Source organism: Homo sapiens, chromosome 1, assembly GCF_000001405.40.
Source record: "Homo sapiens chromosome 1, GRCh38.p14 Primary Assembly".
NCBI classification, from domain to species: Eukaryota; Metazoa; Chordata; class Mammalia; order Primates; family Hominidae; genus Homo; species Homo sapiens.
Genome location: NC_000001.11, coordinates 60,008,610 through 60,034,759, shown reverse-complemented (window position 1 = coordinate 60,034,759; position 26,150 = coordinate 60,008,610). Strand labels below are relative to the sequence as shown.

Genomic DNA, 26,150 nt, shown 5'->3' with positions numbered 1-26,150 from the left:
CTGCAAGTTGGAGGAGACCTATTAAGGAAAAGAACAAAGCACTATGAATAAGTATATAAATCAGGGGTGTGCAGGAGCCAGACATGAGGGCCAATGATGCACACCTCTTCCCAACTCCTCATTCAGCAATGTCACAGTGGTAGCCTGAAATCACCCATGGTGGGGGTATTTACACCAGGGAAATCAGTAATGCAGCAAATTAGGGCTTTATCTTGCAAAGCTGATTGTTAAAGATTTACCAGTATACCACTGAAAGAAACCCAATTTAGATGGGTAGAAGTTGAGCAATGTCATGGACTGTCCCTCTAGGGAACTTGGTGTTTAACTTGAGACAATGGAAAACAGGAAAAGTTTCACAGAGGAAGCAATAGTACACCTGGATCTGGAGGAACAAATACATTTGGCTGTTAGATAAGTAAACATATCAAACCAGTTTCATAAAATCAGTGAATATAACATCTCACCCTGTTGTTTTTCACCTATTATTTAAAATAACGATAGTCTGTTAGACAGACCACCTTAATACTTATGTACATTTGCATGCCAGACTGTAAGTAAATAATTACTCCCAAACATTTCTGGGTTTTTCAGATATAAGGAGCAGAGTCAAGGTTAATGCAGGAAATCCAGCTGGTTCAGGATTTCCTCCCAGGGAACTAGGCTGTCTTGGTATGGGGATCTGGTGGAATCTGCTTTGCTTTGCTTGTGGCAGTGAGCAGTTTCGAAATGTCATTTGTCATCAGTAATTATCTGAGTTGAAGAAAAGTAAAATCAAGCAGATAAAGTAAACTACTATGATTGCTTATTTTTTGTCTCAACCTAGAAAAAAAAGAGTTACAAAGATAGATTAAGAATTTTGGCCTTTGTTGTAGTCAGATTGGTTGGTGCCTCTTGGAAAAGAGATTAGGTAGAGTTCACTCAGATGGAGCAGGTATGAGTTAAGCTATGAAATGTCTGCATGCGGCCTCATGACCAGGTTCCCAAGACTGAGAGGGCCTACGTAGATGGGCTCTCTGGTTCCATAGTGTGTAGCAAAGTTGAGAAATGTAGTAGGAAAGCATGCAGCTGCCTTGGGTGGATAACCTTTTCATAGCCTTCCCCATTTCCCCTACAATCAGCACTCCACCTCAGCACTCCAGCTCACAGCCAGAAGTGAACAGGAGTCTGTTGGAGATTTTGAAGATGGCACTAAGGACAACCAATGGCAGACTCAACATAGACAATCTCAATCTGAGTTTTCGAAAAGAAGATCGCTCGTTCTCTGGCTGCCTCCCTCTACCTAAGGTAACCAAAATTCAATTTCAGATTTGTTCCTCTGTAAAGGCCACTTCAGGGCATTGGGTCTATAGCAATAAGGCACAGGGCTGATCCATATTCTGCCTGTGGATTACATTACACAGTTGTTTGTTTTCTTTGCCTGAGAAGTGAAAAACAAGGCAGAAAAGGAATTGTGAAATGTACAGGAATTGTGAAATTGATCCAGGAATTACTTATATTGGGCTGTTTTATGTTAATAATAGAGAATATGACAACACTCAAATAATATTTCATAATGGAAAACAACTATTTTTGCAAGGCCAAATGTTTATTTCTCACACTCTTTCCTGGCTTCCAATGAGAACAGCATGTGGTGTCCCAACCCTTAGCAAAACCAAATTTTAGGGACCGATGTAATTTACTGCCAATAGAGGCTACCATGCTGTTTTGGAGCATTAATTAATAGTGCAGATGTGCTTCATGGAAGATAATCCAGAACCATAAAAACTCATGGAACTTCTGAAGCCAAATAAACCCCATCATAAGGCTTCTTTGGATACAGGTAAAATAATAATTACCACTACTACTGTAACTCTGTTAGCAACACCTCATCATCACTACACTTTTACTAAGTGCCAAGCACCGTGCTAAATGCTTTGCTTACATTATCTCATGTAACACTTACAAAGTTAATTCTGTACAAAATACTACAAAATCTAGGTAGTCCTTATAATACCCATTTAATAAATTTTTAAAACTGAGTCTCGCCAGGCGTGGTGGCTCATGCCTGTAACCCAGCACTTTGGGACGCCGAGGCAGATGGATCACCAGGTCAGGAGTTCAAGACCAGCCTGGCCAATATAGTGAAACCCCATCTCTACTAAAAATACAAAAAAAATTAGCCAGGTATGGTGGTGCATGCCTGTAATCCCAGCCACTCAGGAGGCTGAGGCAGGAGAATTGCTTGAACCTGGGAGGTGGAGGTTGCAGTGAGCCAAGATCACGCCACTGCACTCCAGCCTGGGTGACAGAGCGAGACTCAGTCTCAAAAAAAAAAAAAAAAAAAAAAACCTGAGTCTCAAAGAGGCCAATTGAATCACCCAAGAGTCACAGCTAACAAGTGGCAAGGCCAGGATTCAAAGTCCAGAAGAGTTATGGAAACTGAGAGGCAGAATTGGCACTTCATTAGGTAGAAGATATCTGGATGATTCCATTGAGTTCAATATACAAGAGTTAGAATTCCAGAAGATTAGAAAGAATTGGAAATTATAGGCCAAAAAATCCCTGTTAGAAATATTGGAAAATGCCTTTCATCTAGGTATACAGAGGTTGGAATTGAGGGAGTCAGAGAATTTAAAAGAACGGTGATATTTACTAAGGAGCAAGGACATGATATGCTGAAAATGAGTTCTTATTCTAGGACAAAAGCATTTTTCTTTTAACTTCTATATTTAAAATCAACTGTGCAAAGGCAAAACTCTGTGTGTGTGTGTGTGTATGTGTGTGTGTGTGTGTGTGTGTTTGAATATTATACATGCAAGCATATTTCATGAGAAAGAGAAATAGAGCATTGCAGGAAAGTCCACACAGCACATGGGGCCTTTACTTGTTTGTGAGAAGATCTACAGAAATAGACTCTTAGTCTAAAAATTCTTAGCAGCAATTTCTTCTTAGATTAGAAACCACATAACCAATGGTGAAGTTTGAATATTCTCAGATGATACTCATAGAATGAAACATAAACAACTTGAAAATCAAAATATATTTACTAAACCTCTTTGAGTCTCAGATTTTCCACTGGCAAATCTGGGTCCCAAATATCTATCTCCTGTGTCTATGTGAGGATTAAATAAAATAAATATGTGAAGGCATTTAGCATACTATCTGATTTATAAGGCCCTCACTAAATATGCTTCCTCTCCTTCTTATAAAAAAGAAATCAGTGTTTGGTGAGGGTCTCACTTCAAAACAGCCTAAGAAAGGAGAATCTTCCCACAGTCAAGTGATGGCCACATTGAGGTCTGGTTATCAGGGCAGACCTTGAATCTTGAATGTTCTTCTCCCCACAGCCGTCCCTGAAAGCTTAACTTTATGGTTCAGATCCAAGGAAATGGGGTACATTTTCCTTGAAGCTGGTCTGCCTTTCGTGAGCCATCTGGCATCTCTTAAGACATCTGGAACTCACTCAGAGCATAATACAGTTCTGGGAGGCATGTGAAATAGAATTCTGTTTCCCCAGAACATGAGGCAAATTGAAGCCCAAGGGACATTGGAAACAAGAAGCAGCCACTATCACACCTCAACTCCCTTACTCCTGAACACGGGACTTCAGAGTGGACAAGGAAAGGTTATGACTGAGTTAAAGGGGTTTTTTGTGGGGGTTGTTTTGACAAGTAGCTCTGAATTTCCTTTGGGTGCAGAAGAGAGAATCACAGACTATGAAAGCTATGCACTCTCTCTCCAGAAAGATTAAAAAAAAAATTTAAAAGCACATCCAGACTGCCACCATTTCAGAGGGTTCACAGATAATCTATAACTTCCAAGATAGATAAATGCAGCCTTAAAGGATATTCTATGGGTCTTGTCACTAAAATCAATGGAATCTGACCATCCACAAAGATCAGTATAGAAGCATATAAAGTATCTGTCATCTTCATTCTGCGGACTCACTCATCCTGTTCCTCTAGCATACCTTCAATGCAATGATGGTTTCTGTCAGGACTGCCAAGGCAATGTGGATACACATTCATTGATTTATTAACTTCCCCAACTATTACCCAAGTCAGATGTAGATTCAATAGGGTTGTAGAACCTAAGACATTCTATGCATGCAGGCTCAGTTTAACCCTTTTACACAATCCATATTCTTCAACATTTGAACTCATCCTCTTTCTGCTTCATAGCACAAACCCCTCCCAAATTGCTCCCAAACCTGCCTCCCAGGAAGAGCTAGCTAGAACATAGGTTGTTTTAATTACTCTTTGCTTCATTTTCATGTAGCTTCCTCATCATTGGGAGGGAGTCCCCTTACTGATAGCCTGGGTTTGTGAATGTGAAGTTCATTCTTGTGGCAAGACTCTAGCTAGGACATGTGTTTAAGTGGACCAGGACTGTAAGACCTCCTTCTGTAGTTTGTCAGGTTCTGTTTTCATATTTAGTGTTTTCTATAACTGGAAGCTCTGCCTTAAAAGTATAAAAAAGATTTTTACTAACTTTGAATGTTTCTCCTCTTCCAATGCAACAGCCACCTTTCTGATCAATATGGCATATTTAACCCATTCTTGCGTTTGACATAATAATCACTCAATATGTTCTGGGCATTGTGGTAGGCACTGAGGACAACAGACTTTTATGGTTTGGGCTCCTGAGTTCTCCAGGAGCTCAGGGGAAAGGCAATGTTTTAAATACGTCATCACAATTCTGTGTGACAGTGCAATGACGGCAGTAACTCTGAACACAGAGAAGGAACACCAATGTGCCCACCTGAAAGCTCTCCAGAGGAGATGATGTAAACACTGAATCTTAGAGGACAGGCAAGTTTGGCAAAGAATGCGGGGACAGGGGGACCGGGCATGGTGGCTCACATCTGTAATCCCAGCACGTTGGGAGGCTAAGGTGGGCGGATCACAAGGTCAACAGATGGAGACCATCCTGGCCAACATGGTGAAACCCTGTCTCTGCTAAAAATAAAAAAATTAGCCGGGCATGGTGGCGCATGCCTGTAGTCCCAGCTACTTGGGAGGCTGAGGCAGGAGAATCACTTGAACCCAGGAGGCGGAGGTTGCAGCAAGCTGAGATCCTGCCACTGCACTCCAGCCTGGGTGACAGAGCAAGACTCCATCTAAAAAAAAAAAAAAAAAAAAAACTTGGGGGGACAGGGGAAGAGATGGGAAAAGTGTTCTCGGTAGAAGTCGCAATGTGAAAGCACTGACATGAGAGCATGGCTAATTCAGGAAAGGGTAAGTCCTGCTCAAGTCAACTTTAGAATGGAAAGTAGGAGCCAGTTTATGAAGGGTCTTTCTAAGGAGCATGAATTTTATACTAAAGGTCCAAAGGAATCATTGAAGGGTATTAAACAAGTGAATGATATGATCAGATTCAAATGGGAAAAAAAAGCATTCCAATCGAATTTGGAGAATTGATTAGAATCAGGCAAAATTAGGGGCAGAGAGACCTTTTAGAAGGCTGTTTCAATAATCCAGGCAAGAAATTATGAGGGTTTAAGCCAAGGCAGTAACAGGAGGGATGGAGACATCAAGGAGGTAGAAAAGCAAGTCTTGATGACTAATTAGATATGGGCCCTGACTTAGGAGAAATCTAGAATGACTCCCAAGGTTCTGGCTTTGGCAACTTGATGGATAGTGGTGCCATTCTCTGAGATAGGAAACAGAAAAGGAATAATTGAGAGGGGTAGAGGAAGGAGTGATGAGTTCAGTTTTGAACACGTTGATCTGGGTAGAGAGGTGAAAACTGAATAGTGATTTAAGACTTTTCAATATGGAGTGGAATTCATAGTAGTTAAGATCACCCAAGGATGTAATGACAAGTGAGAATGGAAGAAGGCTGAGGAGAGCACTCATTGTTAAGGAGTAGTAAACAAAGAGAAGCCAAGAAAGGAAATTCAAAACAATCAAAGGAGACATGGGAGTGGAAAAAAAAAAAGCAAAAAACAAAGAGAGTTTGGAGAAGGATGGCATGATCGGCCATGTCTCATGCTGCAACAAGATCATCTATAAATAGGATTGAAAAGTATTCATTAAATTTAAAACCACGGAGGTTCCTAGTAACTTGGTAAACAGAGTTTAAGCAGAATGAAGAGGTAAAATGCAAATGGAGCTATCTGTGGGAAAAGAGGGCTCTGAGACAGTGTGCACTGATCTTTCAAGGAGCATTTTGGGGAAATGAATGTTTATTTCACATGTTTTTTTAATAACAGATATTTTATTTACTTCTGGTTAAAAACATTTCCTTATTAAACAGAATAAACTACATAGAAACATTTTCTTACCAAGGGTCATCATTATGAATATTGATGTTTTAATGGATCTTAATAATAATCGTGAATAACGTGGAATTGCTGTGATTTTCTGGTAGATGTTTCTGTTGTGCCTCTCTAACTGGCAGCAGTCAGTTCTTAGCAGCTATCCATCAGTCTGCTTCTAGGAACCCTGATGTACTATTTCTAATATGCTGTTCATTTTAGCCTAAAGCAAAACTCAGTGTTGCCAGAAGTAGGTGATCTGTTTTTAGAATAATCTCTTAATATTGATATTTAAAAATACATCAATATGTTCTAATCATGAAGATAGTTCAGTTCTTATTTATGGAGTAAAATGGCCTAGTGTGACCAATCTCTGACTCTTGAACTTTATTTTTTTGCCAACCTCCACTCATACACATTCCACTCTTCAGTGAATTCAGCTCATGCATTCATGGCCTCTTTCACCCATATATACATTTACTCAATAATTATTGATCCTTTATTTTTCAATACTCTGCTAGCCAATGGTGATAAGAAAATGAATGATACCCAATCCCAGCCCTGAGTAAGCCACCACCTTGTAGAAATGCTCAACAAATGACAGATAATTACTGCCCAGCCTGGAAAGGGGTATGATAGCAGAACAGATAATGTCAAAATATATGCTGCTTCTAAAAAGCACCGTGCTCTTTCTCCCCCATAATTACACATGCTTTTCCTCAGCCTGGAATGCCCCCCAACTCCTTATTCTTCTAGCAAACTCTTCGTTTTTTCATGTTTCAAATCAATCTTTTTTTTTTCCCCTCTTTTAAGCTTCCCTGACATTTCTCCTCTATACACAGGAACATGCAAGTTTCAAACCCGATTGGTTGTCTTTCCTTTCATAAAGAAAAACGAAGATGAGCTTTTTGTTGTCATTTTAAAATGTTGGTTTTATAATTATTCAGGTATGGTGAAACCAACAGATCAGGAGATGAGATGACTGCTACTGAAAAGATAGTCTGTTTCTCATGGTTGCTAAGAGGAGCAGGCACGCCACACCATGCGGGGCCAGGCCACACCATGCAGGGCCAGAGGAAGCGCCAGGTTCTGTCAGGAGGCAGAGAGAGTGAGGGGAATGTGGGCATGAGATTTTTTTGTGGGGAATGGGCAGAGCAGGGTAAACAGGCTTAGGATTGGCTGGCTTGCATAACCAGCAGGCTCTGTACTTGGCCCCAGGGTGGTTAGAGCAGGGAAATAGTGGCTCTGTGAGTGCATCAATAAAAGAGATGGTTGGAGTATGGGCTTTGGATAAGTTGGTTAGCTGATAAAAGGCAGACTTCAGGAAGGGCAGTCTCTCCAGGGTCAACAAAGCCCTGCGAAGGCTGAAGTATCAATATAAAAAGATAGGCTTAATACAGGCACTAGACTGAGCTTCCTCTAAAAATAGTAACAGTGACTAAAAATACAGGTCAAGTATCTCTTGTCTGAAATATTTGGGACCAGAAGTGTTTTGGATTTTGAACGTTTTGTTGGATATTGGATAGTTACACATACATAATGAGCTATCTTGGGGACAGAACTTCAAATCTAAACATGAAATTCATTTATGTTTTGTATATCACTTATACACATAGCCTGGAGGTAATTTTATACAATAATTGTATTAATTTTGTGCATGAAACGAGGTTTGTGTTAAATACAAATGTGTAGAATTCTGCACTTGTGGTGACCTGTCAGCACTCAAAAAGTTTCAGATTTTGGATTTTTGGATTAGAGATGCTCAACTGTAGTTATGTTTGGACTAAATAGCTAATTTTAGTAGTTGCTATTATTTACTTATATATTCATTTTTTTATGTAGTTACTATTAGAAATGTCTAATTTAGTGTAAATAGTCCACACATTAAACTTGACATTTCTTTTTTCCTTCCTTCTCCCCTTCCTTCCTTCCTTGATACCCCACTACCTCTCTCTCTCTCCCTCCCTTGTTTCCTCTCTTCTTCCTTCTTCCATTTCTCTATTTTCCTTCTTCTGTACTCTCCCCTCTTCTCTCTTCTTTCCTCTCTCTCTGCTTCCTCTCTCCTCCTTCTGTCTTTTCTTTATTTCATCAAATATTAATCAAATGCCTAATAAGAACCAGGCACTATCCTAAATGCTAATTTTATCATGCAATCCTGACAGAATCCTGGGAAATAGAAAGTACTAGTCTTGTTTAGTAAATGAAGTTGTAGGACCTAAAAAAGGTTAAGTAACTTCCCAAGATCAGAGAGATCACAGGCAGCAGATCTGTGCTCAGATAAGGTCTGTTTGGTTCTATCATTTATATGTTTAGCCATTATTCTAAATATACAACAAAAGTTACTACACCCTAAAAGTTTGAAATATTTGAATCTAAGTGTCACTTACCCACCAACCTGAGAACTGAACTGGTTTGTACTAGTTCAGAACAAGATTTAGAACATATTATGAACTTGGGAAACTTCAATGACACCTCATTCATTCATTCAATAACTATTTATCTGAGCATCTGGTTTCTAGACTAAGTTCCATAACTTATTAGCTATGTGACATTAAGGAAATAATCCCTCCAGGTCTTTGTTTCCTCATATATAAAATGTAGATAGTAATATTAACCCTGCTAATACAACAAGCTTGTTTGGCTAATCAAAATGGATGATACAAAAACATTTAGCAATTTACCTATATAATCAAGTATGTGTAATACATAGGCATTGACTACCCCTTCCATGGCTGATAAAAATGTAAGATCAGCATTTCAAACCCCAGTGACTTCTGAGTAATGAAATATACCTCTGTGTCAACTGAATAAAAACTTGCTGGTAAGCATTCAGTTGCACATTCTTGTCCTAAATGGTATCCTGAAGGATACCTCAATGGTAGAATGTACTCCTGGGTATTAATTCTTTGTCAAAATAATATAGCTTCCAATTATGAGAAAAAACAAATATTAATTGTATTCTATTGAAACATTTTGTATCCTAGTGAAACATCAAATCTTTTTTATTTTTTTTTAACTTGTAGGTCAGGGCTATATGTGGGAAGCATGGATTATATCTGACCCTGAGCCTGCTGGAAACATTGCTTAACCATCAAGATTTGGGTTACCAAAATGAAATAAAGTAAGTCAACTCTTATTAAGAACTGAATGTTTGTATCCACCACCCCTTCCCCAAATGATATGGTGAAGCTTTAACTTCAAATATGATGGTTTTTGGAGACTGGTTTGGGAGGTGATTAGGTTTAGATGATGTCATAAAGGTGAAACCCCCATGATGAAATTATTGTCTTTGTAATGAGAGGAACAGACATAAGAGTTTCCTGTCTCTGCCATGTGAAGATACAAAAGGTAGCCATCTGTAAGTCAGGAAGAGGGTCCTCAGCAAGAACTTAAGGTGCCAGCACCTTGATCTTGATTTTCTAGATTCCTACCTAGTGAATGACATTTTGTGATAGCAGCCTGAATTTTTTATTCATTCTGTCCTCTGTTAGGATGCCAGTCACATAGATCTGTCTTTAGAGTAGGAGTTCTATGTGTGAAGCAATCGATTTCATCACTTGATGGAGTTAAGAATGTTTGCTTTTATTGCGACCAAAGGGTCTTCTTGGCCATAGAAAAACAAAGCAGGAAACTTCCACTTACAACCATTACAGACTATCAGGGACTAGACTTACCATTCTACCTTAAGCAACTAAAAATAGGACAAAATATATGAAGCAGTGATTCTCAGACATCGAACGGCAAGCAGCACAGAACAATGACTCCTGGGAGAAGAAAAATAAAGCAAGTGAGCCTAGCTTATTGCATAGGAATGGGGAATTCAGGCAGAGCCCAGCATTCTCCCTGAGTTAAAGGGACAGAGTTTCGAGTTCAAGAAGGCCAAAAAGACTAAAATGCACAGCACAGAGGAGTAGAGAAGTGAGAAATCCCCAGGGAGCCGTCTCTGGAGATTTCCAAGAGTTACCCTTAAATCTTCAAGTAAGTGCTGGCTAATGTGTCCATTTGAGGAAACTACCCAAGGCCAGGAAAGGTAACACCAAAAGAAAGAGGTAGAAACATTTTTAGATCTCACATAGGATTGGGAATACTTCATGTTTCCACCAGCTAGTGAGGCAGACCTCGTAACACATACGGCATTGAGTAGAAACCTTAAAAAAGTACATCATTGTAATAATGGTGCCAAATTACCCCAGACAAACTCAACAAATCTTAAAACTCTAACAAGGCTTGAAAATGATCAAAATGTTTTTGAGCAACTTAATTTTATCTAAGAACAAAGTCCCCCAATTTCAAAGGAACAGAAAATCTCAATCAACAATGCAAAAATCACAATTTTAAAATGTATACAAAAATTGCTAAGCACAAAAAGAAGCAGGAAAAGTAGGACTTATTATTCACAGAAAAACAAGTTAATAAAAGCAGATTCCTAAACAACACAGATAATACAATTAGTAAACAAGCATATTAAAAGAACACTTATAAATACACTTCTCCTGTTCAAGAAGGCATGAACATAATGAAAGATAAGGAAGATTAAAAAAGATCCAAATAGAACTTCTAGAGATAAAAAATACAATGTCTTCTCCCCTGCAACATGTAACCCCAGTGTAATAATGTGAAAAACACTAAACAATTCACAACAGAGAGACATTCTACACAATGCCCAGCCAGTGCTCCACAAAACTGTGAAGGCCATTAAAAATGAGGAAGATCTGAGTAACTGTCCCAGCCAACAAGAACATAAGAAGACATGAAGACTAAATGTAATGGGATAGCCTGGAGGGAATCTGGAACAGAAAAGAAATATTAGGTAAAAATTAAGGATATTGGAATTATGGACTTTAATCATAATGTATCAATATTGGTCCATTAATCATAGCAACAGTATCATATGATTGTAAGGTATTGACAAAAAGGGAAAACAAGTATGAAGTATATGAAAATTCTCTGTATTATCTTAAATTTTTTTCTATAAAATCTAAAACTACTTTTAAAAAATGAGGTTTATTTTAAAAATACAATACCTGAAAGAAAACTGTTTGTTATGGAAGCAACGGAAGATAAAACACAATAACAAATAAATGAGCTTGACGACATAGATACGGACACTATGTAAAATAAAACTCAGTGTGAAAAAATGAAGGAAAAACTAACAGAGCATCACTGGGCCTTGTGACACCAGCAGCCTAATACATGGGAAATTGGAATCTCAGAAAAGGAAGAGAGGGATGAAGAGAAGAAAAGTATGTTGAACAAATAATAGCTGCCATTTTTTTCAAATTTGGAGAAAACTATAAAGACATGGACGCAAGGAGCTCAATGAACTTCAGACACAAGAAATTTGAAATAAACCATGCAAAAGTTCATTGTAATCAAATTGCTTAACCCAGTGGTAAAGAAAAAACCTTAAAAGCACACAGAGAAAAAGACAAATTATAGTAGCCTTCCCCTTTCTGTGGTTTCACTTTCTGTGACTTCAGTTACCTATGATCTGAAAATATTAAATGGAAAATTCCAGAAATAAGTAATTTATAAGTTTTAAGTCGTGCACCGTTCTGAGTAGCATGAAGAAATCTTATTCTGTCCTGCTCGGTTCTGCCTGGGAAATGAATCTTCCCTTCATCCAACATATCTGTGCTGTATATGTTACACCTGTGTTAATCACTTAGTAGCTGTCTTGGTTATCAGATTGACTGTCATGGTATCACAGTGCTTGTGTTCAAGTAATTCTTATTTTGCTTATTTGCTTATTAATAGCCTCAAAGCAAAAAAGTAGTCATGCTGGCAACTTGGATATGCCAAAGATAAACTGTAAAATACTTTCTTATGTGAAAAGATGAAGGCTTTCAACTTAATGAGGGAAAAAAAATGTATGCTGAGGTTTCTAAGATCTACAGAAAGAACAAATCTATTTGTACAATTGTGAAGAAGGAAAAAGAAATTTGTGCATAGGATATATAGGGTTCAGTACTAGCTGTAGTTTCAGGCATCCACGATGGGTCTTGGAATATATACCCTGTGGATAAGGGGAAACTACTGCAATTTCTTTCTCAAATTTTTGGTAGAATTCACCAGTGAACCCAACTGGGCCTGGTACTTTCTGCTTTGAAAGATTGTTAATTATTGATTTAATTTATTTAATTAGCAAATCAACTCATATCCAGAATCTGGTTCCCTGTCACCCCCTCTATTGTTACTTAACAACACCCATCCACACTACCATTATCTTTCTCCTGGATTTCTGTAATAACCTCCTAACTGAACTCTGTTTCTACTCTTATACCTAGTTTATCCTCACTCCCACAGCTATTGTTGTCTATTAAAAAACCTAAAAGTGTTTGCATCATTACTCTGCTCAAAACACTGCAAGAGTATGTTATTACACGTAGAAGGCAAAAAAAAAAAAAAAAAATCAAAGTCCTCTATAAGAGTTGCTCCCCCATCACTTTGGCTCCATCTAAAATTTCCTTTCCCTAATCTGTTCCAGTTACACCATGCCTCTTTTCTTCCTCAAACACACCATGCAGACTTCACCTTAACACCTATCTTTTGAATGTTCCCTCTACCTTGAAAGCTCTTCCCACAGATATCCTTATGCTAACTCCCTCACTTTCTTCAAGTTTTTGCTCAAATATCTCCTTGTCAATGAGAACTACACTAACCACCCTATTTAAAGCTGTGGTCCCCATCCTTTGTTCCCCTTCAGCTAGTCTCTTTTTGTTTTCTTTTATACACTTATCAACCTCTAATGAATTAGGTAATTTGCAGATTTATCATCTGTATAGCTATTATCTGTATCTCCCTGACAGACAGTAGATGATAGTGCCATGGGGAAGTCAGGGTCTTTGTTTTATTCATTGATGTATCCAAAGTGTCTAGAGCAGTGCTTGGCACATAGTAGGTTCTCAATAAATATTTATTGACTTGAACTGAATTGGGGGTTGGGGATACATTGACTTGAACTGAATTAGAGAGGTAATCCCTCAAAATATTCTCAGGGATGCAGATACGTAAATTCTTCCCAGTCCCTATCTCATGAGCAACTTGAAGAAGGCCTTCCTTACCCACCTCACCAAAATCAGGTTCCTTGTGCTGTACTCTCTCATGGCACCCAGTCATTTTATTTGCTAACACTTATCAGTATTTGTAATTGTGTGTATTTGTGTGATTTGTTAGTTTAATGTCTACATAGTGATCTCCATGCTAGCAAGGGGCATGACTATTTTCCTCACACTGTATTTCCAACATCTAGCCTAGTTCTTGGCTGTATTAGTCTGTTCTCACAGTGCTATAAGGAACTACAGGAACTACCTGAGACTGAGTAATTTCCAAAGAAAAGAAGTTTAATTGACTCACAGTTCTGTAGGCTGTACAGTAAGCATGGCTGGGAGGCCTCAGGAAACTTACAATCACAGTGAAAAGCAAAGGGGAAGCAAACACATCTTACCATGGCAAAGCAGGAGAGAGAGAGAGACAGTGAGGGGGGAAGTGCCACAGTTTTAAACCATCAAACCTCATGAGAATTCACTCACCATCACAAGAACAGCATGGGGGAAATCTGCCCTCATGATCCAATCACCTCCCACCAGGCCCTTCCTTCAATACATGGGGATTACAATTTGACATGAGATTTGGGTGGGAACACAGAGCCAAACAATATCATTCTGCCCCCAGGTCCTCCCAAATCTCATGTTCTTTTTATGTTTCTAAACCAATCATGCCTTCCCAACAGTCCCTCAAAGTCTTAAGTCATTCCAGCATTAATGCAAAAGTCCAAGTCCAAAGTCTCATCTGAGACAAGGCAAATCCCTTTTACCTATGAGCCTGTAAAATCAAAAACAAGTCACTTACTTCCAAGATACAGTGGGAGTACAGGCATTGGGTAAATGCTCCCATTCCAAAAGGAAGAAATGTGCCAAAAGAAAGGAGCTACAGACCCCATGCAAGTCCAAAACCCAGCAGAGCAATCATTAAATCTTAAAGCTCCAGAATAATTTCTTTTGATTCTATGTCTCACATCCAGAGCACACTGATGCAAGGGTTGGGCTCCTAAGGGTTTGGGCAGCTCTGGCCCTGTGGTTCTTCAGGGTACAGCTACTTTGACTGCTTTCACAGGCTTGCATTGAATGCCTGTGGCTTTTCCAAGCACACGGTTGCAAGCTGTCAGTGGATTTACCATTCTGGGGTCTGGAGGACTGTAGCCCTCTTCTCAAACCCCACTAGGCAGTGCCCTAGTGCGGCCTCTGTACAGGCACAGAGTCCTGTTTTAGCCACAGCTGGAGCTGGAGCAACTGGGATGCAGGGCACCATGTCTTGAGGCTGCACAGAGCCTCAAGCCCAGCCTGGGCCCAGCCCACGAAACTATTTTTCCCTCCTAGACTTCCAGGCCTGTGATGGGAGGAGCTGCCAGGATCTCTGAAATGACCTAGAGACATTTTCCCCATTGTCTTAGCTATTAATATATAGCTCCTCATCACTTATGCAAATTTCTGCAGCCAGCTTGACTTTCTCCCCAGAAAATGTGCTTTTCCTTTCTACCTCATAGTCAGGCTATAAATTTTCCAAACTTTTTTGCTCTGCTTCCCTTTTAAACATAAATTGCAATTTTAGACCATCTCTTTGTAAATGCTTATGACTGTACACTTTTAGAAACAGCCAGGTCACATCTTGAATGCTTTGCTACTTAGAAATTTCTTCTGCCAGATACCCTAAATCATCTCTCTCAAGTTCAAAGTTCCACAGATATCTAAGGCAAGGGCAAAATGCTGCCATTCTCTTTGCTGAAGCGTAGAAAGAGTGACCTTTACTCCATTTCCCAAAAAGTTCCTCATTTTCATTTGAAACTACCTCAGCCTGGACGTCATTGTCCATATCACTGTCAGCATTTTGATTAAAACCACTCAACAAGTCTCTAGGAAGTTTCAAAATTTTTCCGACATCTTCCTGTCTTCTTCTGAGCCCTCCAAAATGTTTCAACCTTTACCCATTACCCAGTTCCAAAGTCACTTCCACACTTTCATGTATCTTTATAGCAGTGCCCCACTCTCCTGGTACCAATTTTCTGTATCAGTCTGTTTTTACACTGCTGTAAGGAACAACCGGAGACTGGGTAATTTATGAAGAAAAGAGGTTTAATTGACTTACAGATTTATAGGCTTAACAGGAAGGATGGCTGAGTGGCCACAGGAAACTTATGATCCTGGCAAAAGGTAAAGGGCAAGCAAGCATATCTTACCACGGCAAAGCAGGAGAGAGGAAGAGACAGTGAGGGGGACGTGCCACACTTTTAAACTATCAGATCTCGTGAAAACTATCATGAGAACAGCATGAGGGAAATCTGCCCCCATGATCCAATCACCTGCCACCAGGCCCCTCCTTCAACACATGGAGAATACAGTTTGACATTAGATTTGGGTGGGGACACAGAGCCAAACCATATCATTGGCACATGATAGGTACACAGTAAATGTTTAAGGAATTTACTTATTCATTTATTTAGCAAGCATTTACTGGGTACCTACTACATACCAAGCACTACTCTTACACACTAGGAATATAGATATGAATAAAACAAAGCCCCTTTCCTCATGAAACTTATATTCTAATGGGAAAGATAAATAATACATAAGTTAGAATATATGGCATATCACATGGTGATAAGAGCAATACAGAAAAATAAAGGGTAAAGGTTATGAGCCACATCAATCGATGAACATATGAATAATGAGGTTATGATATTGAGCTTAGTCAATGAATTTCCACTGTGCCAGCTTTGGACATGAGAGTCTGCCTTCTTTGAAACCTTGGGGGTGGTTGGATGAAGGCGAGAGGTGTGGTTAAGCTGGAAATGCAGAAAACTGAGCTAAGAGCCGAGTAGAAAATTACAAGGCCAAAATTAAGACTACCAAAAAGGCACCAATCTAAAGGAAGAAAAAGCAAGTATCAAAGCTCACATTATACCTGTACGTAGTAGAGACTCAATAGATATTTGTTGATTAAAAATTGAGATCCAGAACCAAGATTCTGAGAATCGGGAATATGAGACCAAGAGAAAATGCGGAGCAAATAGTGTTAGGCTACTTACTATCCTATCAACACTCTCAATTTCTCACTGTTTTTGTGCAGATCAGAGAAGCACACAGATTTCTTTATTCACCTGTCTTTGACTTTTAAATGTTCAAGGATATCACAACCATAAGAACTAAAAAAGAATTGCATTTATAAGAAATATACCTGTTTCATCCCTAAACAGTCATTGGCTAAAGCTTCTTTTGTTGAATTAAATCCATTTTGTTAAGGGCTTTGTATGCAAACCTATATCCTTAAGAGATTAAAGATGTAATTTAGACACACATTTTAGAAGCTGAATGCACGAATCATTATTTTAGTACATATTGTCCATTAATCTGCTGTTCAATTGGGAACCCATTTGGAATGTGGCTGCTTGCTAATTAGCAGGATTCTAGTGCTGAGCTGCTTCCTGACTAAATGTCCTTTAGAATCAATAAAACATCAGGAGGGATTATGGTGATGTGGGATTAGCCCCATCTAACCAAATAAAATGAGTTGTGCTTCCTCCTTAAACTGTCATGTTGTGAGAGTTGATGAGAGGAGCAATTTCACAAACCCTGTTACAAAGTTGTTGTTGTTTTTTTAACATTGAGATTTGTTTTTTTGCCATTTGCCTACCAATTAGCAGAGACATTAGTGAATGACTGCCAGGATAAGGCGATTTTGAGAAAGACTTGATTACGATTTCAAATCTCTACTCTGAATCACCCTTATGTAAAATGAGTTCAGGTTTTGTTGGATGGAAATTATTATCCGTGTTCTTGGCCAGGAACATGTAAATCAGAATTAGCATTTAATGTTTCTGTGTGACTTTGCAATAAATGGTAATTAAGGAGGGCAGAGAGAGAACAGGAGGCAAACTAATACTCTAAAATTGTATTGGCAAAATTAAATGCTTCAAACCAGTTTAAAACACATGCACACAAGCCAAATTGTGTTGGGGGAAGGGATAAATAATAAAGCTGCTATGGAAGCTTCATGAAAAGAGGGGAGCAATTGACACAGCCACAAGTAGGACTTATCATACACATCTGGTCCATTACTGAGAGTGCAATTAAGTTGAAAAAGACTGGTTTTGCTAATCCCAGGAACAACCAGAGGATTTTAGAAGATGAAGGAAACCTGAGGTGTCTGATTCAGCAATTACTTCTGACGGGAATAGGAAAAGTGTTAGGTAGCAAGCTATTAGAAATACGGTATAGATCTGCCCATTGGCTGTGCCTTAGAAATCAGACCTGCTGCCTTTTCTCTTCCAGAAAATAATAATAAGTGCTTTATAAATATTAACTCTTTTAATTATTGCAACTTTCCCATGAAGTAGGTATATTATTTTTCAAGTGAGGAAACTGAGGCACAGCAGCACAGAGAGGCTAAAACCAATACACAACTAATAAATGAATTCGTCAATAAGGCTAAGTCAAATGTAGGTTCTCTACCTTCAGTCTTGGCTCTTGGTCACTACACTACACTGATTCTCCTACAAGTCCCATGAAATTCAGTTTATAAGATAATGACTAGGCACAGAGGCTTTGGCCAAACTGCCTAAGTTCCAGAGCTGGCTTCACCCTTGGGCTTGATGCTGAACAGAGTTCTGGATTTGAGTTTAGGATCTCTTGCCCTCTCTTCCAGGACCCAGGAGGCATGTAAGATATGAATACCAAAGAGGGAAACATTTAAGCTCCAGGGGCAGGTATGATCCAAACAAGCCCAGAGCTTGGAAGCAACCTTTCCTTACCAGTGTAGCCCTTCTACCACCTCTTCAGCCCCCATCTATGGAGAAACCCAGCATGAGTCCTAGCTGGCAACCTGGTTCTGAAATACACTAGGTTTGGAGCCTGGATAAGTAACAAATTTCTCTTAACCTTAATTTTCCCATCTGTCAAAAGGGAAAAATAAAATTCATTTGTTTAGATTTCAGAGTTTATTGCCTCTATATCAGGGAAGGGCTGTACTTCTCCCAGTTAACTGAAAGGTGGAAAGAATATAACTTAGTACATGAACAAGAAGGTTAAAGCATAGAAAAACAATGCAAGTGAATGAGTGTCTCAGTAGCAAGGTTAAATTACATGATCAAAATAACCCCTTGACTTGATTGGATAAAGAATTAATGCATATGCACCTAATACATCCAGGTATGGGGCTAGATGCTCTACATGGCTACACAGCATAATCCCAGCAACCCCATGAGTTGGTTTTCCTTTTAGAACCACTTCACAGATGAGTAAACTAAGGTTTAGAGACATTACATAAATTACTCTCAAAAGTTAGGCTTCTTTGACTCTTACTTCTGTTAGGGCTGTTAAGGCTGAATTGTATCCCTCCAAAGTTCACATACTGATGTTTTAATCCCCAGTACTTCAGAATATGGCTATATTTGGAGGGCCTTTTAAAGAAGTGATAGGCTGGTTATGGTGGCTTATGCCTGTAATCCCAACACTTTGGGAGGCCGAGGTGGGAGGATCACTTGAGGTCAGGAGTTCAACACCAGCCTGGCCAACCTGGGAAAACCCTGCCTCTACTAAAAATACAAAAATTAGCTGGTGTGGTGGCACATGCCTCCAGTCTCAGCTACTCTGGAGGCTGAAGCACGAGAATCACTTGAACCTAGGAGGTAGAGTTTGTAGTGAGCTGAGATCGTGCCACTGCACTCCAGCCTGGGAGACAGAGTGAGACTCTGTCTGCCAAAAAGTGAAAATAAAGAAGTGATAACTGAGTTAAAATGAGACTGTTAGGGTGGGTTCTAATCCAATCTGAAGGCTGTCCTTATAGGAAGTGGGCATTTGGACACACAAAAAGACACCAGGGATGTAGGTGCACAGAGGAAAGACCATGCACAGAGAACACAGCAAGAAAGTGGCCATCTGCAAGCCAAGGAAATAGGCCTCAGAATAAACTAAACCTACTGACACCTTGATCTTGGACTTGTAGCCTCCAGAACTGTGAGAAAATAATTTTCTGTTGTTTAAGCCATGTGATCTGCGGTATTTTGTTATGGCAGCCTGTCTTAGACCATTTGGACTGCTATAACAAGATACTATTGACTGGGTGGTTTATAAACAACATAAATTTATTTCTCAGATTTCTGGAGGCCAGGAAGTCCAAGATCAAGACAGAAGCAGATTTAGTGTTTGGTGAGGGTCCACTTCCTTAGAGACAGGTGTTTTTTTCACTGTGACCTCCTATGGTGAAAGCAGAAAAGGGTGTCTCTTAGGCCTCCTTTATAAGAACACTAATCCCATGCATGAGGGCTCTGCCCCCACGGCCTAATCACTTCCCTAAGACCATAGCTCCTAATACCATGGAAGTGAGGATTTCAGCACATGAATGTGAGGGAGATATAAACATTTAGACCGTAACACAGCCCCAGCAAACTAATATAGTCCCTAAAGGCTAAAGGCCTCTTCCGTAATCCTCCTGTCTGGCTCCTCCTTCTGGCATATTTTGTTTCCCTTGACTGAAGTAGAGGATTACAGGATTCTGAAGGCAATTCTTCAAATCATGGGACTTAATTTCTGATCCTGGCAGTCTGAACAGAGCTAACTCTTTATCAATATTCTATACTATGTCTCAGCTGAGCTTGGTGGGATTTGTAGGAGCTAACCAGGTAAGAGACGGGAAAGAGTATTTCAGAGATAAGGAGCAGTATGTGCTGAGACAAAAGCCAAGCAAAAATAAGTTTGGAGAACTACATACTGTACATACTGTTCATTATGGCTGGAACATACATTTCAGGAGGCAAAGAAAGGTAATGGGCTTGGGAGGTGAACACCAGCAAACCTTTTGACTTAAGCCTTCATAACCCTCATAGAAGAGCATACCAGCTGAAATTACCTTCATCAGTATTACAAGGATGTTTCAATAAAATAGCCTATATTTTGTGTGTTTAGTGCTTTAGGTTTGTTTGTTTTTTTTAATATATAAGGCTTTTTGTATAAAATGACATCTGCCTAACAACCCCCAACTAAAATTTCTATGAAGAAGGAAAGAAACAAACAACACGTGAGTAGCAAAAACTGACTAACAGGGACTCTAGTGTCAGAATGTACAAAAGAAATCTTCACTAACTATAAATAAACGGAATATGGGAAAATCAATTAGTTGCTTGCCCCAAGCTGTGCCCTAACCACCCATAAGAAGTGCAGAAAACAGAAAATACTCTATCCCTTCACCACAATCTTCCCCTTGATTTGGGGACCCAAGTCTTGACCAACCAGAAAATTACACAAGTGTTGTTTTATTGTGCAGCCCGAGCACTCTGGTTCCCCACATCTCCTTTCCTTCCCTCCCCTGCCCAAGGATACACACTTAACCACACACAACTCTTCTGTGCCTATTTGGAGAGCTCAACTATCAAGAATGACAGCAGAAAGTTGAAGTAAGCAAGGTGGTAAGGGGAAAAATATGACTATGGTGCTTGCATCTGATGAAGGTAATATCTGATAATAAAGTTGTAGAGGTTAGTACGGAGAGGAAGATCATTGTCAGTTGTATATGATGAGGAGCATATAGCTTATGGCATACTATACCAATATGGGGTATGTGATATACAACAAATGTGGTGAGAAAATCCTATCTCTGCCCTACCAAGGTGCACCAGGTGTATGCCTGAGAGGCACCAGGAATGGATGGAAGTTGTCATCTGCCCTTGACTTCAGGTCTAGTGAGCAGTGAGCAAGGCCAAAGGAAATCAGTGCAGCTCATCTGCTGGGTTGTACTGAATGTGAATAGATACTCATTTGAAGCAAAACACCTAATTAAAAAAAAAAAAAAGCAAATATACACTACAAAACATGGAAAGGGAGCCACAATTCTGCAGGCTCCAAATCTCACCAGACCTTTTAAATTAATCTACTCTAAGAAAAATTTAGAAAACCATTGATTTTTTTGTAGAGTATAAGAAGCCATGTCCTCTACTGAAATGAATTGGAAAGTAATCAACATAATGAGATTTAAAGGACACAAAAATGAAACTTAAAAAGCACAAAACATGAACAGAAGAAACTAGAAAGAATTTTGGTAAATATGGAGGATTTCAAGAAAACTAAAACTTTCATAGCAGAATTAAGAGGTAACGAGGAATCAATATGTAATGTCAAATTTAAGAGGCTTTTACAAAATCTAGAGAAAAATAACCAAGAAGAAAATGAGGATAGTAGATATGAAAGAATCAGAATAGAGATTCAACCTAAGAGGCCTTGGTATTGTGAAAAAGAAAACTAGAAAAAATGGAAAAAGAAATAAAAACGGAAGTCCCAACTAAAGAAACTTTGCAGAGCTGGTACAGCTGTACAGATTGAAGGGACTCAGTGTGATGTAAGCTAAATTAAGAAAAAATGTATTCACATCATTCCAACAAAACTTTTATATTATAAAGACAAAGGCAATTATTCAGGGATCCAGGCCAAAAACCCAATAAAACTAAACCAAAGCAAATAAAGAGAAAATTAATTACAAATGACCAAAAATCAGACTGACATCAGACTTCTGCAAAAATAAATGTCAGAAGACACTACAGCTGTGTCCATGGAACTGCGAAGACCACAAAAATGTAAATGAAGTCAAGTTACATTACGTTCGAATAGATTTGGAGTCAGGGCATAAATCCCTGCTGTCCCATTGATCCATGTGCCTTTGGACAAGTCACTTACATGCCCCATAAGATGGTTGTCTCAATTAAATGAGATAATGCACAAAAAGTACTCAGAATGTTCACTCCATGCCATTTTAACTTGAAAAACTCAGTTAAAGTGGGATTCGAAATCAGGTCTGCCTGAATCTAGAATCAGGCTCACAGAACTTGTCCTCCAGTCCTGATCTGCCTGGCTTGACATTGGAGGTTTGGTACCTACTTTTGTTATTAGAATTATAGTGCCTGCTATGGCAACTAGAACCCACTCCCAAATTTAAGTTGTGAATAGCACTTTGAAGGTCTTGGGGGTAATGTAAAGAACGTGGGAGAAAAGAAATATTTTGTTAGAAGGATCTTAAAAATTGTATTGGTCATGTAAGTCCTATACCATTCAAATCAGGCAATATAGTTAAAAAAATTTCCCTCAATCTGCTTCCCCTGCTGTCAGCATATAATCAAGAATGGGCAGAAAATTTTCTGGTGTCATTTTATCCAGAGGCGTTATCTCATATCATACCTGATATCTAAGAGAACACTACCTGATAATTCCTAACATCTCTGAAAAAATAAATGTTGTGTAATGTGTAAATATTAATGGATCTAGGTTTTTGTTGTTGTTGTTGTTGTTTTGTGTTTTTTTTTTCATCAAAGCGTCAGAAGGTGCTGTAGCCATAAACCTGGACTTCTTAAAATAGTCTGGAAAGAAATTGCAGGAAGTGTAGAAGACAGGAGATGCTTCCATTGTAGTTTATTTGCAGATCTGTGCTAATATCAGATCTTTATATAATTATTAATATTCCTCAAAAGTGCTTGCTACTTCTTGTTCAACTTTCTCTTACCTGCCTAGACCTACCACATCTGATATAGTCATCAGCTTATCTGACTAGCAGTCCTGCATATCCATCACTTATCTGTCTAATCATGTGCCCAAAGTGGCATGAAACTCTGGAGGTCACATGTTCAAAGCCCAATATTGTGATACTTACCCTGACCAAATAATTTCTCTAAATGTTATGTCATATATAGGAAAGCCTTCATGAAGTATAAGCAAAATAAACTAGTTACCTATTTAACTCATTTTATTTAAAGATAATAAAGTCATATGACATTAGAACTTTTCTTTAAAAACCCAGCATATGTATTTCCCAACTTGCTCTTCATTTTCACTTGACGTCTTCTGATGGACAAGATGGAGAAAGATAAAGATACTTAGTTGAGGTTTGGTTGCTAGCAACAGAAACTGTCTTTTGCTAACACAAGTAAAAGGAAATATTTTCAAAGGATATGAATTAACACAAAATTGGAGAAAAATAAACTTCAGAAAGGAATAGAACCAAAGAGTAAGGCAGAGACAGTGGGAGAGAGAGAAGAAGTGAGGGAGGGAAGAAGGGAGGAAGGGATAAATAGATTGAGATTAACTAGAGGGGGTGGGTCACAACGTTGGCTAGGGCAAGGTATGGGACTTTGACCATACCGTAGTCCCATCCATACTGTATTCAAAAGGAAACCAGTAGCTGTCACCCCAGAGAAGAGCATATTTATATATAAATGGAAGGTGGATGCTGGGCAAGCAAATATAAGTGATTTTCAATGTCAAAGTTTTGCTAAAGTACTTTTTAAGCTTTAAATGATTACCTGGTTGTCTCTTGCAGACATATTACTCAATGTAATTTCCACTTGGGAATTCACTGACTATTGTGTTCTTGCACTCAGAACTCATATTTATCCCCTTCTATGTTTTTTCTCTGTTGTAATGCTTTCCATACTTGTGAAGGCTAGAAAGAACCTTTCTGAAACCCTCTTGACACAAAGTTCTAGAACTGCTTTAAATTCTGTTGGTGAGATGCAATTTCATGAGATTTGAAAGGCAGAAGCAGTGGTGAGAGGCCAGTGGCACGGAGACAGTTTTTATTTATTTATTTATTTATTTATTTATTTATTTATTTATATCAACAGCAGTAGCAACTGCAGAAACTGGCAAGTGTTTTTTTGTTTTGTTTTGTTTTTGTTTCATTTTCCAGTGGCCAGAAAGCAATTTGTACTGCCTGATGACAACTTCATAGCTAGGGGAAACTGAGACATCAGCCAGATTTTCTTGCTGTTCCCTGATCTCTGGACCACATCTGCTGAGGCCTGACCCTAGACTTAGAACTTTCTGTTCTAATGGCTTTGCAATAATTCCCTATATCAAAGCCCTTTTTAATAAAGATATACAAAGTAGTTTCTGTTTCCTGCATTGGACCTTAAATGATAGAAGTATCAAAAAGCTTATTCAATATCACTACCAATATAAACAGAGCTTCACTGGACATTCTTTCAGGGCAATCATATTGATCACCAATTTATGTTTCCTTTTCTTGCACAGATGGCAGAATTTTGTTGAGATGCTGACCAGAGCTTCTTCTGATTTGTTATCTGATTTGCCTACAGGTGAGTTCCATTATTTTTTTGCTCCAGAGAGACCTTCCATTTTTCACAGCTATTGTTGACTATGCTGCCTAGTTTGAGTGGTTTGCTTGTTGGGTTTCATCTCATTTCTCTCAGAAATGTAAATAGCTCCCCAGTGAAGGAAAAATGGGGGTTAGAATCACCTTAATGGCTATTCTTTTAGGCCAGTTGGATCATAAAAGGCACAATTCTCCAAGTTTTATCATGAGACATTCTCTAGTGGTAGCCCTTATAGATGAATGCAGTACATTTATGGAAGTTAGTATTATTTAGCAGAATTTCAGGTGCACAGTCGCTTAGATCAAAGAAGCTCATAGCTAGGTATTTATTCCACTGATGTCTCCACAAAAAAAAAAAAGACCTGTGAGATGTATATATATGTTTAGTGTATAGGTTTTTTTGGTAAACATTTTTAAAAACAGAAATAGCAGAAAGATCCTTCGTGGGCTATTTAATTAAATTACAATATAACCAATTGATAAAACGATGCAGTTGTAAAATAACATGGCTGGGTTGCTACAGGAAGATTTCCAAGACATATTATTAAGTGAAAATTGTAACGATGCATTGGGGAAAATATTTAGCAATTAGCAAGTTTTAAATATGACAGGTGAAAAAATATGCATTGATATTAATCTGCTGTTGTAGTTTTTCTATTTACTATATCCATCAACCATTTACTGATTGCCCTTTGGATCAAAATTAAAGTACTGAATGTGCACGCATGTGTGTGTGCGTGTGTGTGTGTCCGGGATTAAATATATCAGTCTGTATCCAAGTGGAAAAACCTAAGAAACTTTACTAGGTATTTCAAGCAGAGGGAATTTACTACAGGGGATTGGTTATGTAAGTATCCAAAGCTGAGGGATAAAAAAGAATATGGTGAGTATATTCATTTCCCAGGGCTGCCATACAAAATACCACAATCTTGGTGGCTTAAAACAATAGAAGTTTATTCTCTCAGTTCTGGAGGCTGGAAATATAAAATCAAGGTGTACGCATGGCCAGACTCTCCCTGAACACTCTAGAGAAGAGTTCTTTCTTGCCGGTTTCAGCTTCTAGCAGCCACAGGCCTCCTTTGGCTTGTTATTGTGTAACTCCAATCTCTGCCTTTGTTTTCACAAGGCCTTCTTCTTTCTGTCTTCTATATATCTCAGTATCCAAGTGTTCCTCTTCTTTATCTTATAAAGACAACAGTCATTCCAAGTAGGGCCTGCCCTAATCTAGAATGACTTCATCTTAACTTGATTACATCTGAAAAGATCTTGTTTCCAAATAAGCTCAGATTCACAGGTACCAGTGATTAGGACTTGAACATATTTTTGAGGAGGACACAATTCAATCCACTACAGGGAGGTAATCCAGACATTAGTAACTGTAGAAAGCAGCTACCACCTTAAGGCTAAGGGAACATAGAGGAAGGGGTATTACTATCAGAATCTAGTAGCTAGTGTCACCACACAGATGGTTCTAGGGTCTCCACGGAAATGCCAAGCAGCTGGAGGAAGGATTTCAGAGGGGATTCCATACAGCTGATTCTTGGACTGCGACATAATTTAAGGCTCTAAGAAGGTGGCTGCACTTGGATCTCTTACAAAGCATCATATTTTCAATGAGGAGACCATTGAAGTGATGTCACGTGGCTGTTCATCTGACCTGAGGTTTCACACGTGGCTAGGGCTGAGAATGCTGAAAAACATTATAGCAGTAGCTCTTCTGATGCTAGGTGGATACTTGATGTGTCCTCACATGGCTTTCCTCTGT

General features: G+C 38.9%; 1 protein-coding gene across 2 annotated transcripts in view; it reads left to right on the top strand.

Moving 5' to 3' along the window:
- The window catches only part of C1orf87 (chromosome 1 open reading frame 87), an 83,377-nt gene that overhangs the window by 39,011 nt on the left and 18,216 nt on the right, over positions 1 to 26,150 (top strand). For both annotated transcript variants that reach the window (NM_152377.3, XM_017000307.2), the window contains 3 exons: positions 1,119 to 1,284; positions 9,262 to 9,359; positions 24,304 to 24,368. In NM_152377.3, coding sequence (NP_689590.1) covers positions 1,119 to 1,284; positions 9,262 to 9,359; positions 24,304 to 24,368 — 329 coding nt within the window. The remainder of the gene's footprint in view (positions 1 to 1,118; positions 1,285 to 9,261; positions 9,360 to 24,303; positions 24,369 to 26,150) is intronic.